General features: G+C 37.5%; 1 protein-coding gene across 11 annotated transcripts in view; it reads left to right on the top strand.

The window, feature by feature from the left end:
* Nucleotides 1-16,157, top strand: part of CTNNA2 (catenin alpha 2) — a 1,463,404-nt gene that overhangs the window by 550,294 nt on the left and 896,953 nt on the right. For all 11 annotated transcript variants that reach the window (NM_001399737.1, XM_024452714.2, XM_011532556.3 and 8 more), the window contains one exon: nucleotides 8,717-8,912. In NM_001399737.1, the coding sequence (NP_001386666.1) occupies nucleotides 8,717-8,912 (196 nt within the window). The remainder of the gene's footprint in view (nucleotides 1-8,716; nucleotides 8,913-16,157) is intronic.

Below are 16,157 nucleotides of genomic sequence, written 5' to 3' on the forward strand. Positions count from 1 at the left end.
ACGTTAATTATAGGCTTTCTTTGTAGCAGTAATTAATTAGTGCCAGTTCAGTCCTATCTTAGATAATTAAATCATAAAACCATATCTTCAAGGTTTCAGAAAGCTGGTCTTCCAGGTCTCAGTATCAGTGGGCATGCATCTGAATTCTATGCAGTTACTGTCAGATAACGGGGAGGAAATTTCAAAGACAAAGAGACAGACTAATTCTCTGGGGTTTTTTCCTCTATAAATTTTTAATGCATCATTAAAAGATCATTGTTTCTGACTTTTGAAACTGTGGAAGCATCAGTAACTTTGGTTCTTATTATTTACTTCTTTTTTAATCTAAAATAAGGTGTGAAGTTGTGCTTGAGAGAAATGATCCTTTCAACAAGAGATCCTATTGTAGTAGTTTCTATTGTAGTAGTTTCTGTGAAAGTTTTATCTTAGTTTTTAATGAAGCTGAAATAAGTCTGTATTGTCACCTCCCTTTGCGTCAGAATTTGTATAACTTTGTTGGTCTGCCTTTCTCTCTGATGTGTACAACATACAACATACATATATCTTTAAATCTCACAAGTATTCTGCTTTAGGAAATAACTTCTAATAGAGTATACCAGAAGGTAAGCGTATATCTTTTTATATATTTTATGAGGAAAAGGCACAAGCCATATTTGCACTTACTCTATCATTGCTAAAGGAATAAATCAGGTGGTTCAAGGAAGAATAATTTAAGAAAAACAACATTTTGATGTATTACTTGGCAGTTAATTTTTAACTGGTCATTAAAACCTGACTGAAGATTTCTCCTTAGAAGCTTGGTATTATCAAATATATTACTAGTTGAAGACTTAGCTTCTTCATATTTCAAGTTAGTTACACTAGTTTTCCTCTTTCAGGAAATTTTCATTTATCTTCAGTTGCTGCTGGAATAAATAGAGTGTTTTTTGTAATTTTGTCTTCAAACATTCACCCCAAAAATGTCTTGCTTTGGAATTTCTATTTTAATTTTTACTTGTTTTAAATTTTAATTCTTTTAGGTTGTGGCAGCAATTGAAGCCTTCTCTTGTGTTAGCTGAGTAATCGTGAAGATTGAACTACCTTAGAGCAACACAGTAGAATTCCCAAAAGCTTAGTACTCGTATCTGCAAAGTGCACAAGTCTTTAGGCATCTAGCAAAACAATGCCCAAATTATCTTGGTTCTCCTTTACTGGTGTTTTTCTGGAGAGCTCAACAATTTCACCATGTTTATATATGTATACTCTCACTTTCCCAAGTTCCTCGTGCCTCCATAATAGAGGAGATGCTTTCCCACCAAAAGACGGTGAATTGATTCACCAAGCTGTTTGTAAGGAATCATGATGTATCATGGCACCTAAAATGAGAGGAAGGGTTTACCTGTTAAAAGTCACTGCTGCCGGGTGCGGTGGCTCATGCCAGTAATCCCAGCTCTTTGGGAGGCAGAGGCAGGCGGATCACCTGAGGTCAGGAGTTTGAGACCAGCCTGGCCAACATGGCGAAACCCCGTCTCTACTAAAAATACAAAAAATTAGCTGGGCTTGGTGGCGGGTGCCTGTAATCCCAGCTACTCGGGAGGCTGAGGCAGGAGAATAGCTTGAACTCAGGAGATAGAGGTTGCGGTGCGCCAAGATTGTGCCACCACTCTCCAGCCTGGGCAACGGAGTGAGACTCCGTCTCAAAAAAAAAAAAAAAAGGTCACTGCTTTGTCTTTCACTTTTTTTCGCTTCAGCTAGACTCCTAGATAAATGTTTCTGCAAGTGAAGTTTATTATCCATACAAATCTTAATTGTATGCAACGAATGCAAAATGCCTAAGCCCAGACTTACCTGATCAGAAGCTCTGTGGGTAGGGTCCAGAAATTTGCCTTCTTACAGGAATCTAGGGGAATGTTAGGGATGATATAGTTGGAAAATAATTGTGCCAAATTTTAGCGTTTCTTATATTTTAATGTGCATATGAATCAACTATTAGTAGGTCTGGGATGGGTCCTGAAATTCTACATTTCTAACAAGCCTATATAACACTGATGCTCTCCATAGCTCACTTGGAGTATCAGTGTGCTAAAGTTTTTCAGCTGGCTGCCCCATAGGTAAGGCTTAGACAAACTATAGTGTTGCTGGTTTCAGGAAGCAACAGAGTTGCTCTGTCACAAGTCTCAGGTCCTTCTCACATTTCAAAATCAGTGTAATGGAGTTTCCAAGACAAAGTGCCTTGATGCCCTATTGCCTATTATTTTGGAGAAAGAAGTATTTCATGCCTGTTGAGCTTTTGCAGCCTAAAAGTGGAGTACTGATCAAGTAGAAGAGACACAGTCAAGTTGACAAATTGTCTTAAAATACAACATATCGCAAGAAAGAGAAATGAATGAAATGGTCTTGGCCACTGCACTACCGCCATTGTGCAGGAGTGGTAGGTCAACTTTTAGGACTTTAGGTCATGAGCAGTCTATACAAGCCTGGGTCTCAGTTTTATACTCACATCACACCATTAACATATCTGAAAACAGTGGTGCCTATTATCTGGCTATTTCTGAGTTTTCCACTGGCCAGTGTTCCTGGGACCATTATTAGATTAAGGTCGAAGGACCCTAGAACACTTACACTCTTACCTGTGACCTGCGGAATTTCTTCTCTTTAAGGAGAGGCAGAGAGATTGAGGAAATATTTGGGGTGGGGCTAGAGCAAAGTTGAGTATTCTTGTAGGTTGTGGTTAGGAAGTCTGCAGAGAGGAGGACGTTGAAGATTTAGCAGGAAGCTGGCACAGCTAATACAACAGTTCTGGAGGATGTGATTAGGAAATTAGTTAAAGGGGTGATGGTAGTAGCAGGCTTTTCCTGTTGGAGGAGGGATAGAGATAAAGATGGGTACAGAAATAAGTGAGTTTGGTGGACGGTAATGTATGTTCCTTTTAAAGCTGTATGAGTTTAGAGAAGGAAATGATTATTGCTAAGAAAATTAACCAGGAGATATTTCCAGGAGGAAGTGGAATTGAGTCAACGGCACTAAATGTGGTAGAATGGTATTATAAGATAAAAATGATTTGATTTTAGCAACCTGTTAACTAACAAGAGGACTCTGCTACAGGAGGTGAGAGGATTAAAGCAAATTTCACTGGGCTGAGAAATGAATGGAAAGAGAAACGGACATTTTGAACCTATGCTTTTCTTTTTTAAAAAATTGGCAGTGACTAATGAAATCTGAATTTCTTAACTTGGCTTTCAAAGCCTTGCAAAGTTTTGTTCCATTACATCTATCTAACCTTACTTTCCAAATAATTTATAGGTTAGCTTTATTCTCAATTAAGACTGATTTCCTTACTGCCTTGGAAAACATCAGCTCCATCTTTACATATGTCAATATTCATGCTATTACTACCAGTTTTTGTTGCAGGGACTTTGCTGTTTTTTTTTTTTTTCTTTTTTTTCCATTTTTTCCCCTACTGCTTTACAAATGGATAGGAAAGAAGAATGTGTGGATCTTGAGTGATCCTTGCCTTGAGTGGAAGTTGAGAGTGGGAATTAGAGAGAATCCCTGGTTGGGGCAGAGGGAGGCCTAACATTCAACCAAGGATTTCCATAGAATGAAACATTTGTTTTGAGACAGAAACATGTTTTAATAACATATTCTCAGTGTTTGCTTACAAAGGGGTTTCTCTGTCAAACTCTTCCATTCACTGAAAGAAAACAGCTTATGATGTATCTTAAAGAAAGTATGCTTACATTTGCCTTTTATTTCTGGATTTCTCTACTTGTCCTCATAGGGCCCATGTTCTAGTAACATATTCTCAATGTCTGTTTACAAAAGTTTTTCTCTGTCAAGCTCTTTCATTCACTGAAAGAAAACAGCTTATGATGAATGTTTAAGAAAGCATGCTGATATTTGCCTTTTTTAAAATACAGATTTAGGGGGTACAAGTGCAGTTTTGTTACATGGATATATTGTGTAGTGGTGAAGTCCAGAATAAGCCATTTCTTACAAGACTGCCAACAAGCTGCATCAGACACTTAAAAAGTCTATAAGTACCATCTACCAAGACCTAGTGTCAGTCTGGATATCAAACTTACGCACAGATACCTGCAATTCCAGCAATTGGGCCACCTTGTGGCTCCCACCTTTAGATCAAAATGTGTTCCTGCTGCTCTGACTTCTCTAAGGCATCCAGTTATGCAAAAGGTGACTGCACTATTCATTAGAATTCATAATTCTGATACTCACTAACTGACTTGAGAGGTAGTAGGTGGATCCATGGGACAAGGTAGTCATTTTCTTCACTAAAAATCTTTGATTACTGATCTTTAGTATATCTTGGTTCTTCATGACTGAGCAATAAATTTCTTTTTTTAATTTAACTTTTATTTTAAGTTCAGAGGTACATGTGCAGGTTTGTTATATAGGTAAACTTGCGTGAAGGGGGTTTGTGGTACAGATTATTTTGTCACCCAGGTATTTAACCTAATGCTTATTAATTATTTTTCCTGATTCTCTCCCTCCTCCCAACCTCTACCCTCTGATAGGCCCCAGTGTGTGTTGTTCCCATCTTTGTGTCCATGTGTCTGAATCATTTAGCTCCCACTTGTAAGTGAGAACATGCAGTATTCGATTTTGTTTGCTAAGGATAATGTCCTCTAGCTCCATCCATGATCCTGCAAAGGACATGATCTTGTTCTTTTTTAAGCAACAAATTTTCTTATTATTCTTTACCCATAGAAGAGCATTGTTACATAGGAACCCTAAGATCTCCTATTTGGTTAGTTATAAGATTTTTGAAATACTTTTGTCCTTCTTTTGCTTTCAGCTGACACAAAAAGCCCTAATATGCATTTTCTAGACTGAGACTCTTGAATACATCAGATATTACAGGGCATTGCAGGAAGATAGGATAAAATAGTTGGTTAACATTTCACTAACATTTATAAACATATATTCATATATATAAATAATGCCTTTGAATGAAAAGACAACCAATAGGACACAAAAAATGTAGTGAGACAAATGTAGAGAATAAATACATTTTAAGATTATTTTGTCGTTTAGCAGCCTCTCATTGTTAGAAAGAAAAGCAAGAGGAGACTGGTGAGTTCTCAGGTTCCAAAGATACAGCATAGAGCACAACAACAATTCAGCCTTTTGTCTCTCTCGAGTCATGTGAATTTGAAGAAGTTTTTTTTTTTAACGTATGGTAACTTCTCTAAGCTGGGTTTCCCTACCCGTGAAATAACAAGATAGAACTGAAGTAGATGAATATGAACTTTCAGAATTTTAGGTGTAAATATAGGCATAGCTCAAGAAGAATAAAAGCCTGTAACATGATGGGAAAAAATGACACTTCAGGTGGGAGAAAAGGAAAATGTGCAGTAGTGTGGAGTGGCATGCATTGTCATAGGGTGGCAAGAGAACGGGCACGGCAACTCAGGGGAAGGAGTGGGAATAAATCAGTGAATTTGCATAGCAAGGGCTAGGCTGAGAATTCCCAAGAGTGGTTAGTTTAAAAAGATAGACCCAACTTTTTCACCTACTAATGGAGCTAAACTACTTTTGCTGCTTCCATTTAAACATTTGATATATTGGCCAGAAGTGGGCAGCAAGAGTCCTGCATATGCTAATCTTAAATAATCTGTCTCTAATTTACTGAAAAGTTTATTAAGTTTATGGTAAAAAGAGAACCGAACTGAATGAGAGGATATTTTAAGTTTACAGTAAAAAGAGAACTGATCCGAGTGAGAGACTTTCTTGCTTATTTACTGTGTAAATATCTCGAATGCTAATTGTAGAATAAACTGGGCAGAAATGACATCTTTTCAATCTTGAGTCTTCCCATCCAAGAATGCGGGATGTCTCTCTATTATGTAGGTCTTCTTTTATGTTCTTCACTAAAATGTTATCATTTTCCCCCATGAAACATTCTACATGGTATGTTATGGTTATTTCTGATCATATAAATGTATGCTGATTGTGAATGGCATATTTAAAACCACATTTCTCCTTTGTTACTGCTCTTCCTTTAGGTTTTTATTGTTTATGTTGTATTTAGCCACCTTGCTCTTCACTCTTGTAGTAGTTGGACTTGTTTGTCTTTCAATTCTTTTTTATTTTCTTAAGAATCATATTCTCTATAAGATGTAATTTAATGTTTACTTTTCTAATACTTATATATCTTCTTTATTTTTCTTATCTAATTTAATAGTTTGTCCTCCAATAAAACACTGAATAGCAGTGAAAAGCATTGACAATTGTTTATTCCGAGCTGATTATGACATGAGCCTTTATGGAAGCCCATCCCTTTCTTTCCATTTGTCTCTTTTCCCTTTCTTCCCTTTGTGCTCTTCCACCCATGAGTACATGAGAGCTTTTACTAAATGAGGATTGATTTGCTTCTTCTGAAAGTAATCACATTTTTCTTAGGAACTTCCTGGTAATGTTCCATGTTTTTCTTCCCCCCCACAAAACTGACATTTTCTACTGGCTTGCTATTATTTGCATCACCAAAACTGTGCCTAATGCAGTAATGCACCATGACATACAGAAGGCTAGAAATGTGTCGGCCCCTCCAGAAAATGAACCCACATTATAGTCGTGTAGCAATTTTGGTAGTCACTACCAGCTTCTACTCCTTTGAAATGTCAATTTATCTAAAATTAATAGCTCCTCTCCACCCTATTTTTTTTTAATTTGTGAAGTCTAAAAAAAAATAGATTATGAAACATCTTAGAATTATGCATAAAGTGAAAATAAATCACATCTCAGTGAGAATAGGGAGTATTTTCCTCTGATAAAAGGAGCCTGGCCTAAATGCAGATGGTAGAGATGGTTGCTGTGTTTGCTTAGGGGACTTATGTGCTTGTTTCCAGGTATTGGCTGTTCTGGGGAGTTGAGGTTCTTGGAAGAGTAACATGTTCATGTGTTAGAGTAAATCCTCATTAAGGAGAATGCTTCTGCACCTCAGAAAAGCAATCTTTGTGACAAGCTGTCTTTCTTTTTTTAATGGTTGCCTCACATGGGTGGCACTGAAAAGATTACAACGTGTTCCTCATCGCATACACATTTTACAGCTAAACCACTATTATCTGATATTCTTATAGTTAATGATTTTGCCATTTTTTTGGCTAGTGTTTGTACTTAAATGGCCTTATAGAATCTTTCTTAAATTCACTCTACCTAATTATTTAGCAATCAAAAGAGAGCCGAATAAAACAGCTCCCAACCCTGCACTAATCACCTCTTAAGTATTGGTTCTATCTATACACATCATCTTAGTTTACATTTATTCAATCCTTTTTTTCTTTCAGTGTTATCTCTTTCTCTATAAACTGACCGGATATTAATTGTGACTTTGAGTCATCGCTTTGATTGCTCTGGGATTTGGAGTAAACCTCAGAAGCTAACTGCATTTGGAACTTTTTTGTAGACTGGCTTTCTTAATAACCTCCAATAACATCTTTAGTCTGCTAACCAGGATAAATATCAACGAAAATAAACCACAGAACCTACATTCTTGTGAAGCCGATAAAAAAAAAATACAGCAGTAAACATGACTGGCAACTTTTGTTGAACAGAATATGGAACAGTTGCATTCATTTCCCCTCCAAACTTCTCACTGGTAGAAAATAAAGGTTCAGAAGTTTATAGGAGATAACATGTTGCTCAAAAGATATTAATAGCCTTTTTAGCAAATTAAATACCTCTAGATATAGTGTTAAAAGAAGTTTGGCAGTTGAGATAGGTGTCCAAATTATGATACTTAGAAAAAGAGTAATAATAGATTCAAATCTTATTATGATTCTAGAAACTTTAGCTGGTTAACTAAACATTGAGTCTGAATCATTTATTTCCCTCACATAAAATTTTCCATTTTATTTATTTTATTTATTTTTTTTTTTTTTGAGACGAAGTCTTGCTCTTGTCACCCAGGCTAGAGTACAATGGCACGATCTAGATTAACTGCAACCTCTGCCTCCCGAGTTCAAGCGATTCTCCTGCCTCAGCCTCCCAAGTAGCTGCGATTGTAGGCACCTGCCACCAGGCCCAGCTAATTTTTGTATTTTTAGTATAGATGAGGTTTCACCATGTTGGCCAGGCTGGTCTCGAACTCCTGACCTCAGGCGATCTGCCTGCCTCAGCCTCCCAAAGTGTTGGGATTACAGGTGTGAGCCACCACGCCTGGCAGAAATTTACCATTTTATTTGTATAAGATAAAATTCTAAATAGCAAAGGTCTTCGAAAGTCCTTGGAAAATAACACATAAGTACCGGGTGTTGGCTACTCATTATTTATTAATTGCTCATTCATCTCTGCCCTGACTTACAGGGCTCAGCACTGGATGTTGGTTCTCCTAGCTCAATACTCAGAGGTACTTCCATATTTGCTTTGCTTCCTTGCCACCCTGAGGCTGGGTACTCCAAGGAGCACTGTACCTGTCAGTCTGTAAAAGTGAGTGAACTTGAAGCTTTGACCCACTGGCAAGTATGCTATTTCTGGTTATTCATGTGCTTTTGTTTTTCCACAGGAAATAAATGATAACCATTTATTTGTATGATAATCCACATAATTTCACACTTTCCTTGATAAGGTTATGTGAGGAGGCTAAGTGATGTGCATTCATGATTTAGTATTGAAATCCCATGATTTAATAAACACGGAGATTTAGAAATTATGAGATAACATGACATTTCTAGACAGTTTTGCAAAGAAGTTTTACAGTTTCTCTTTTATATTTAAGGTGACTACACTTGTCAACACAAGCAACAAAGGCCCATCTGGTAAAAAGAAAGGGAGGTCAAAGAAAGCCCATGTACTAGCTGCCTCTGTAGAGCAAGCCACTCAGAATTTCCTGGAAAAGGGTGAACAGATCGCTAAGGAGAGTCAAGATCTCAAAGAAGAGTTGGTGGCTGCTGTAGAGGATGTGCGCAAACAAGGTAGGCAGAATGATATTATTGTTCAAGGCGGATCTATACTGATGTGCAAACAATGGCTTTTTCTTTAGAATCAATGGATATTTACTCAAAGAAGAAGTCTTACGTTTTTTTCCTTTCTATCTACACTTGTCATTTTTAATGTTTGCTGGATGTGGTACATAGAGATATTTTCATTGTTGCAGTATGGTACAGCTACAAACACTCCATGTCTGCTGTTACGTCAAATCTTCAAGATGTTTCTTCTTGGTCAATGTAAACAGACTTTGTGTCAAACTCAGGCTTTAGGGAGAATGGGATGGGAAGACCTAACGTTTATAGAGTCAATGTAAAATCAGGTTTCTATGGATGAAGGGGGAGAAGAATGTAAAGTATTATAAGAGAATTATTCTTATTTTTCTGCAAGTCTCAAATTCATGTTTTCAGTTCATAGATTTCCTCACAAATGTAGCAAGCTAGCCACTCATTAATAAATCAGCTACCTCTCTAGCTAGCTAGCTATAATACTGTTGATTTAGCATTTTAAAATTTTGATCTGTATAAAATATACAACATAAAGTTCTAACTACGGCCGGGTGCGGTGGCTCACACCTGTATTCCTAGCACTTTGAGAGGCCAAGGCGGGTGGATTGCCTGAGCTCAGGAGTTCAAGACCAGCCTGGGCAACACGGTGAAACCCTGTCTCTACTAAAATACAAAAAATTAGCCGGGCATGGCAGCGTGCGCCTGTAGTCCCAGCCACTCAGGGGGCTGAGACAGGAGAATTGCTAGAACCCGGGAGGCGGAGGTTGCAGTGAGCCAAGATCGCGCCGCTGCACTCCAGCCTGGGTGACAGAGTGAGACTCCATCTCTTAAAAAAAAAAAATAAAATAAAAAGAAAAAAGTCTTAACTACTTGTAAGTGTACAGTTCAATACTGTTAACGATATTCATATCGTTGAGCAAGCAATCTCCATAACTGTTTCATCTTGCAAACTGAAACTCTATACCCATTAAACTATTTCCCATATCCTCCTCCCTGAAGCCTCTGGCAATCACCATTCTACTTTCTTTTTCTATGAATTTGACTGCTCTAAATACCTCATATAAGTGGAATCATACATATTAGTCTTTTTTTGACTGGCTTATTTCACTTAGCATAATGTCTTCAAGGTTCATACATGTTGTGGCATGTTTCAGAATTCCATCGTATGTATATACCACATTTTGTTTATACATTCATCCATTCACGGATGTTTGGGTTGCTTCCACTTTTTGGCTCCTGGGAATAATGCTGCTATGAACATAGAGGTAAAGATATCTCTTTAATGCCCTGCTTTCAGTTCTTTTGGATATAGACTCAGAGGTGGTATTACTGGATCATATGATAATTATATTTTTAATTTTTCAGAGCCTGCATGCTGTTTTCCATAGTGGCTGCACCATTTCCATAGTAGTGCACTCCTACTAATGGTGCACAGCGGTTCCAGTTTCTCCAAATCCTCACCAACACTTGTTTTATTTTGTGAATTGTATCATCATAATTGTTGTGAGGTGATATCTCATTGTAGATTTGATTTATATTTTCCTAATGATTACTTATGTCGAAGAACTTTTTATATGCTTCCTAGGCATTTGACTATTTTTTTCGGAGAAATATTTCCAGTCTTTTGCCCATTTCTGAATCAAGTTGTTTGGTTTTGTTGCTGTTGTTAAGTTATAGGAGTTCTTTATATAGTCTGGATATTAGCATCTTATCAGACAGTGATTGGCAAATATTTTCTCCCATTCTGTAGGTTGCCTTTTCACTCTATTGTGACCTTTGACACAGAGAATTTTTAAATTTTGGTGTAGTCCTATGCAGCATTGTAGTTGAAAGTTCTAAGGACCATGAAATCAGAACAGACACCTACTCCCAAGCTTGGTCTCTCTCCTGCATTTTCTGCCTTGAAGAATGCAATGCATGTCTATTGAGTTGCACGTTGCATAAATCTTAGTGCCATTCTTGTTACTTCCCTTTCCTTCCAAATATAGTCTATTGTAAAGTTTCCTAGATCTTACCTCCTATATATCTGTTTAATGGACCACTTCCTGTCTTAGTTATTTAAAAGCACTATGTTTTCATGCCCCAGGGCCTTTATATATGCTGCCTCTTTCACACATTTCTACACTTCCCAGCTCAAGGAATACCTTCTCAGGGAAACTTTATCTGAAACTCCTGTCATACTTTTTAATGGGTTCTTTCCTTGTTACTTTTCACAGGATAATTAAGTATTTGTGAGGTGACTGTCTTTCATGCCATACTATAAATTAATAAAGGCAGAGACCAGACCATGTCTCTTTTGCTAATCATTGATTTTCAATGCTTAGTACTCATTAAATATTTGTTGAATTATTGAATTAAGAGGTGAATGAATGGTCTCTTCCAATTCTTCTTGCAAACCTACCACTGTATCAATTCACAGCTGGATATTTAGTACCTGGAAACACCAACCCTCCTTCCACACTAACAAATACTGTTCCCCTTCTGCCCTGTTCTTCCTCATCCTCTCCTTCCTCCTAAAAATTAATTTCATCTCTATTATACTAACTTAAATTATTACTTTAATTTGCAACGTTAAATGTGCCACATTTTATCTATTGTGAAGAGTATATTTGTGTATGTGTTTTGGCAGTGCCAAATCTAAGTTTTCAGGTGCATTCGAAAACTGATATTCCTTCTGAATTGCAGATGGACGCTTGTTTGTTTTCATGCATCTATAGCCTGGATAGTTGTTTTATTTTTTTCTTTTGTTGTGGGTTTTTTAGGTTGACTGCCATATAATAAACTGTATGCACTTAAAATTTACAATATGATAAATTTTGACAAATGTATACATCCATGAAACCATCTTTGCACTGAAGATAGCAAAGGTATTCATAGTAGAGAGTGGTTTGATTGGCCCCGGGCCTCCTTTTAAAACATTTGTCTTCTATGATAATAAATTTTTCCCTTTAGTTTCTCCAAAACCTCTTAAGAATTCTTTTGTCATTACAAGTTAGTTTTCACACATTCTGTAGAAACTAACGTTTTCATTTTCTTGAAGCTTACATGAAATTGTGTTCTCGTGGATATAATACAATAAACAACACAGTTCTTGGCCAGACTATCCTAGGAGTATTGGAGTAACAAATTTCTACAGATGCTAATTTAACACAGCTAACAATGGTTGAACTTCTAGGGGATATTTCAAGTTTTCTTTTTATATTATCGATTTCTTCTTACAAAACAATTCTATATCAGAAATGTTGTCTACGTGTAACCTGTATAAAACTCAAATGCCACGTGCTCCTTCTCTTGAACAGTGTCAAATTCAAAGAAGCATTACTATAGTATGCAAAATAACCCAAAAAATGGGTAAAAGCATTTAAAATTTGCTTTGTTATTTTTCATTCTGCAATCTTTTCCATACACTGCACATGCCTCTCAGGTGTGAGTGGTGCACCTCCTCACTGACAGCAAGGTCCTCAGTCTCTTGTTTGAATTTGATGCCCAGAAGCTCTTATCTCCATTCTTTCCATTCTCTAGCACAGCTCGTCATTATGTAATCCCCTTAGCTTATCTGGCTTTAGCTGATTTTCCTGTTTGCCCATTACCCAAATTTTATTTACCAATGAGAGCCTGCATTGATTTTCAGAGAGAGAGGTAGAGAGAAAAGAGCTTGTGGGGAAGGAATATGGAATGGGGCAAGATATTTAGTTAATGGAAACTTTAAAACACAGTATCTTTCCTTCTATCATAGAAATCTGTTTTCCAATATGCAAGATGATATTCAGAAATTATGGACACACTGACATTTAGAAAACAATAACCTCTTTTAAACTACCTCCAGCATCCATACATGACTTATTTATTAAATGATATGTTGTGGGAATGAAATCTGTTAGTTTTACTATTGCATTGTTTTTGTTTTTATTAAAAAGTATTGTCACTTTTTGTTTTCAGCATAAGTAAATGCCAGTTTTCATATTGTACATGTCCATTTTCAGATTTTTAATATAGAACTGTTTTGTTTTTCTTTTGAAGTTTCACAACATTCATTATAATTACCCCATCTGTCAAGATTATAGAATTATCTATTTAACTATGTTATTGTATTTCATATGGCTAAACAGTGTTATTTGAATTTCTTTATCATTAAATATATATATATATATCTTTTAAACCTGGCTGCATGCCAGATCTCTAAAAGTTTTCAGTATGAGTGGTGACTATATTTTTACTCTAGAATATTCCAGTAGAAGATTTCCCTATATCTGTAAAAAAATACTGGAGTAGGTGTTGTGCTGAACCCCTATGGACTCTGATGGGGATGACGCCAGGATCACGGGGCCAAAGAAGAGACCCAGAGCCAGCAAATGAGACATGGAGTTTTACTGGGGGGCTTACCTACGGGGGAGAAGTCTAGTGGCAGCAGGCTGGCAGAAGAACCATAACCATTTGTGAAAGGCATGCAGTTCATATAGTACTTTCACGTATCACCATTTACCTAACAACTTTCACCTGGCAACCTTCATTCAACCCAAAACGGTGCCTCCATCCCCTCTACACCCCATGTTCCATGGGCTGGGCTGGGGGCTCAGATGTTACTCATAGACAAGGAATGAATCTCTAGGTGGGCCACTCCCAGATTCCCTAGCTCAGCAGACACATTCAGATGCATCTGCCGTATGGGGTCATTCTCGGAGTATGCGTAAGTTTTTGCTCTCAGGTGTGTTTATATACAGTAGGCTTATGATAGCATTTATATTTAAAAGAAGTAACAAAAATAAATTGCCTAAAAGAGATATTGTATTCAAAACTTAGAACTCTGATGTTTTAGACTTTGGGAAAGATAGGATATCTAGTTTGGTGTGTGTGTTTCTCCCTTCCTATCTGTTCACTTATGACTAAAGTCATGTGATATATGCATATTATCTTCCTAATGTAAGTTTAAACCGTATCAGAATAGGAACAATGAGATTTATGTATTTCTTTCTTCTCCTGAGGCACTCGGCATGGTCCTCTAAGCACATGGTAGGTGATATTCAGGAAGGAGTCTTGTGAAATCAGGAAAGCATTGGCAGTTTGGCTAAGATATCCAACTTCTAATCTAACTTTTACAAATAACTAGCTGAAAAGCTAAGTCACTTAACCACTTTTAGCTTCAGTTTCTCCATTTTACAAATACAATTATTGTGTCTACCTAAATGAATTGTTTTACTAAATGAAGTCACAGGGGATTAAAAAAACGCTAAATGTTCTATAGATGTCAGAGTAGATTTATTAATTATAATTTATTAAATCAATGTGTACTACCTATAGCAATGTGTACTACCTTTTGATTAGTGAGCAAGTCCCGGCCTTTCCAAGCAGGATGCTAGAGAGCTGAATCAGCATCTAATAGTCTTCATGAAGAAGATTGAGTAGCTCGGTATGGCTTACAGTTGGTGGTAGTTGCACGTGGTGTCCGCAAACTATGAGTGGATAGATGTGCAGCTGGTGAACCATTCACAGAAAAGCTTCTTGAAAACAAGGAATGCAAAGGAGTTATTCCAATCATTTCTTCATATTGAAGCTCTGGACCAAGGAAAGCTTAAATCGGGGAATTCCAGAACGTTTTCAGTGTTTACCACGAAGATTTTTCTAGACTGAAAACTTTTTTTTGACTATGCACTAATTGAGGGGTTCTCAAACTTTAGTGAATACTAGAATCACCTGGGAAGATCTTGAAATCTTTATGTCCAGGCCTCACCCCTCTTCAATTAAATCAGAATCTCTGCAGTTGGACCCAGGCTTCAAGATGTTTATAGCTCCTCAGGTGATTTCATTTTACAGCCAATTTGAGAAGAAGTGGACTAATCCCTTTCTTGCTTATCAGCCCTGCTTAGATTACTTATCAATCCATGGTAGTTATTTAGTGTTTCACATTTGGCAGCTGATAACAGGCAGTCATTATACAAGGTTTATGAGCTTATTGTTTACTTAGAAGTAGGTAGGTAAGGGCCGGGCGTGGCGACTTGCGCCTATAATCCCAGCACTTTGGGAGGCCAAGGCGGGCAGATCACGAGGTTAGGAGATTAAGACCATCCTGGCTAACACAGTGAAAGAGAAGTCTGGTGGCAGCAGGCTGGGCAGAAGAACCACAACCAGGGGTTGTGGCAGGCACCTGTAGTCCCAGCTACTTGGGGAGGCTGAGGCAGGAGAATCACTTGAACCCAGGAGGTGGAGGTTGCAGTGAACCAAGATCTTGCCACTGCACTCCAGCCTGGATGACAGAGTGAGACTCTGTCTCAAAAAAAAAAAAAGAGGTAGATAAGACTTACCTAGGAGAAACAACTTGATATTCTATATTAAAATATTATGGATAGATATATCCTATGCTAAATGATGTGTTACCCAGCCTGACATTCTGCAGGTACACAGGAATATGTGTTAAGTATATACTGGGCAGTCAAATGTATAGGGCAGTTAAATATTTCAGGAGTTGTGGAAAAAAAGATACATAGCTGAAATTAACAAGAAGGAGGTAATATTTAATGTGATCATTGATTAAAAATTTTCGAAGACCAGTGGGACAAGAATTGCAGGTTTAAGATTGGTGGGATAAGAATTTCAGGCTGTATCTAATTTTCAAAGGCATAAAAAAGAATGGCACTAATAATTGGAGGTTGGATAAAGAAGCCCTGATTTGATGAAATGTTTCATATTCAGGTACAGTTAGAAATATAAGATGGCTGGGCAGGGTGGCACATGCCTGTAATCCCAGCACTTTGGGAGGCCGAGGCAGGCAGATCATTTGAGGTCTGGAGTTTGAGACTAGCCTGACCAACATAGTGAAACCCCGTCTCTACTAAAAATTCAAAATAATTAGCAGGGTGTGGTGGCTCATGCCTGTAGCTCCAGATAGGCGGGAGGCTGAGGCAGTAGAATCACTTGAACCTGGGAGGCGGAGGTTGCAGTGAGGCAAGATTGTGCCACTGTACTCCAGCCTGGGTGATGGAGAGACTCCATCTCAAAAAAAAAAAAAAAAAAAAAAGAAAGAAAGAAGGAAATATGATAAGATGATAGAACAGATCCAGATAGGGAAAAGTATAGACAACATGATGAAAGGAAGGGAGAGAGGGAAGGAGGACAGAAGCTATCTACCTGGCTGGCTTCTACTCACTTAAATGATATTTTAGAAAGATTAATATGGCAACTTCATGAAAACCTGACTAAATTAGAGAAAAACTGGACCCAGACAGATTG

This window comes from Homo sapiens, chromosome 2 (genome assembly GCF_000001405.40).
Source record: "Homo sapiens chromosome 2, GRCh38.p14 Primary Assembly".
Lineage (NCBI taxonomy): Eukaryota > Metazoa > Chordata > Mammalia > Primates > Hominidae > Homo > Homo sapiens.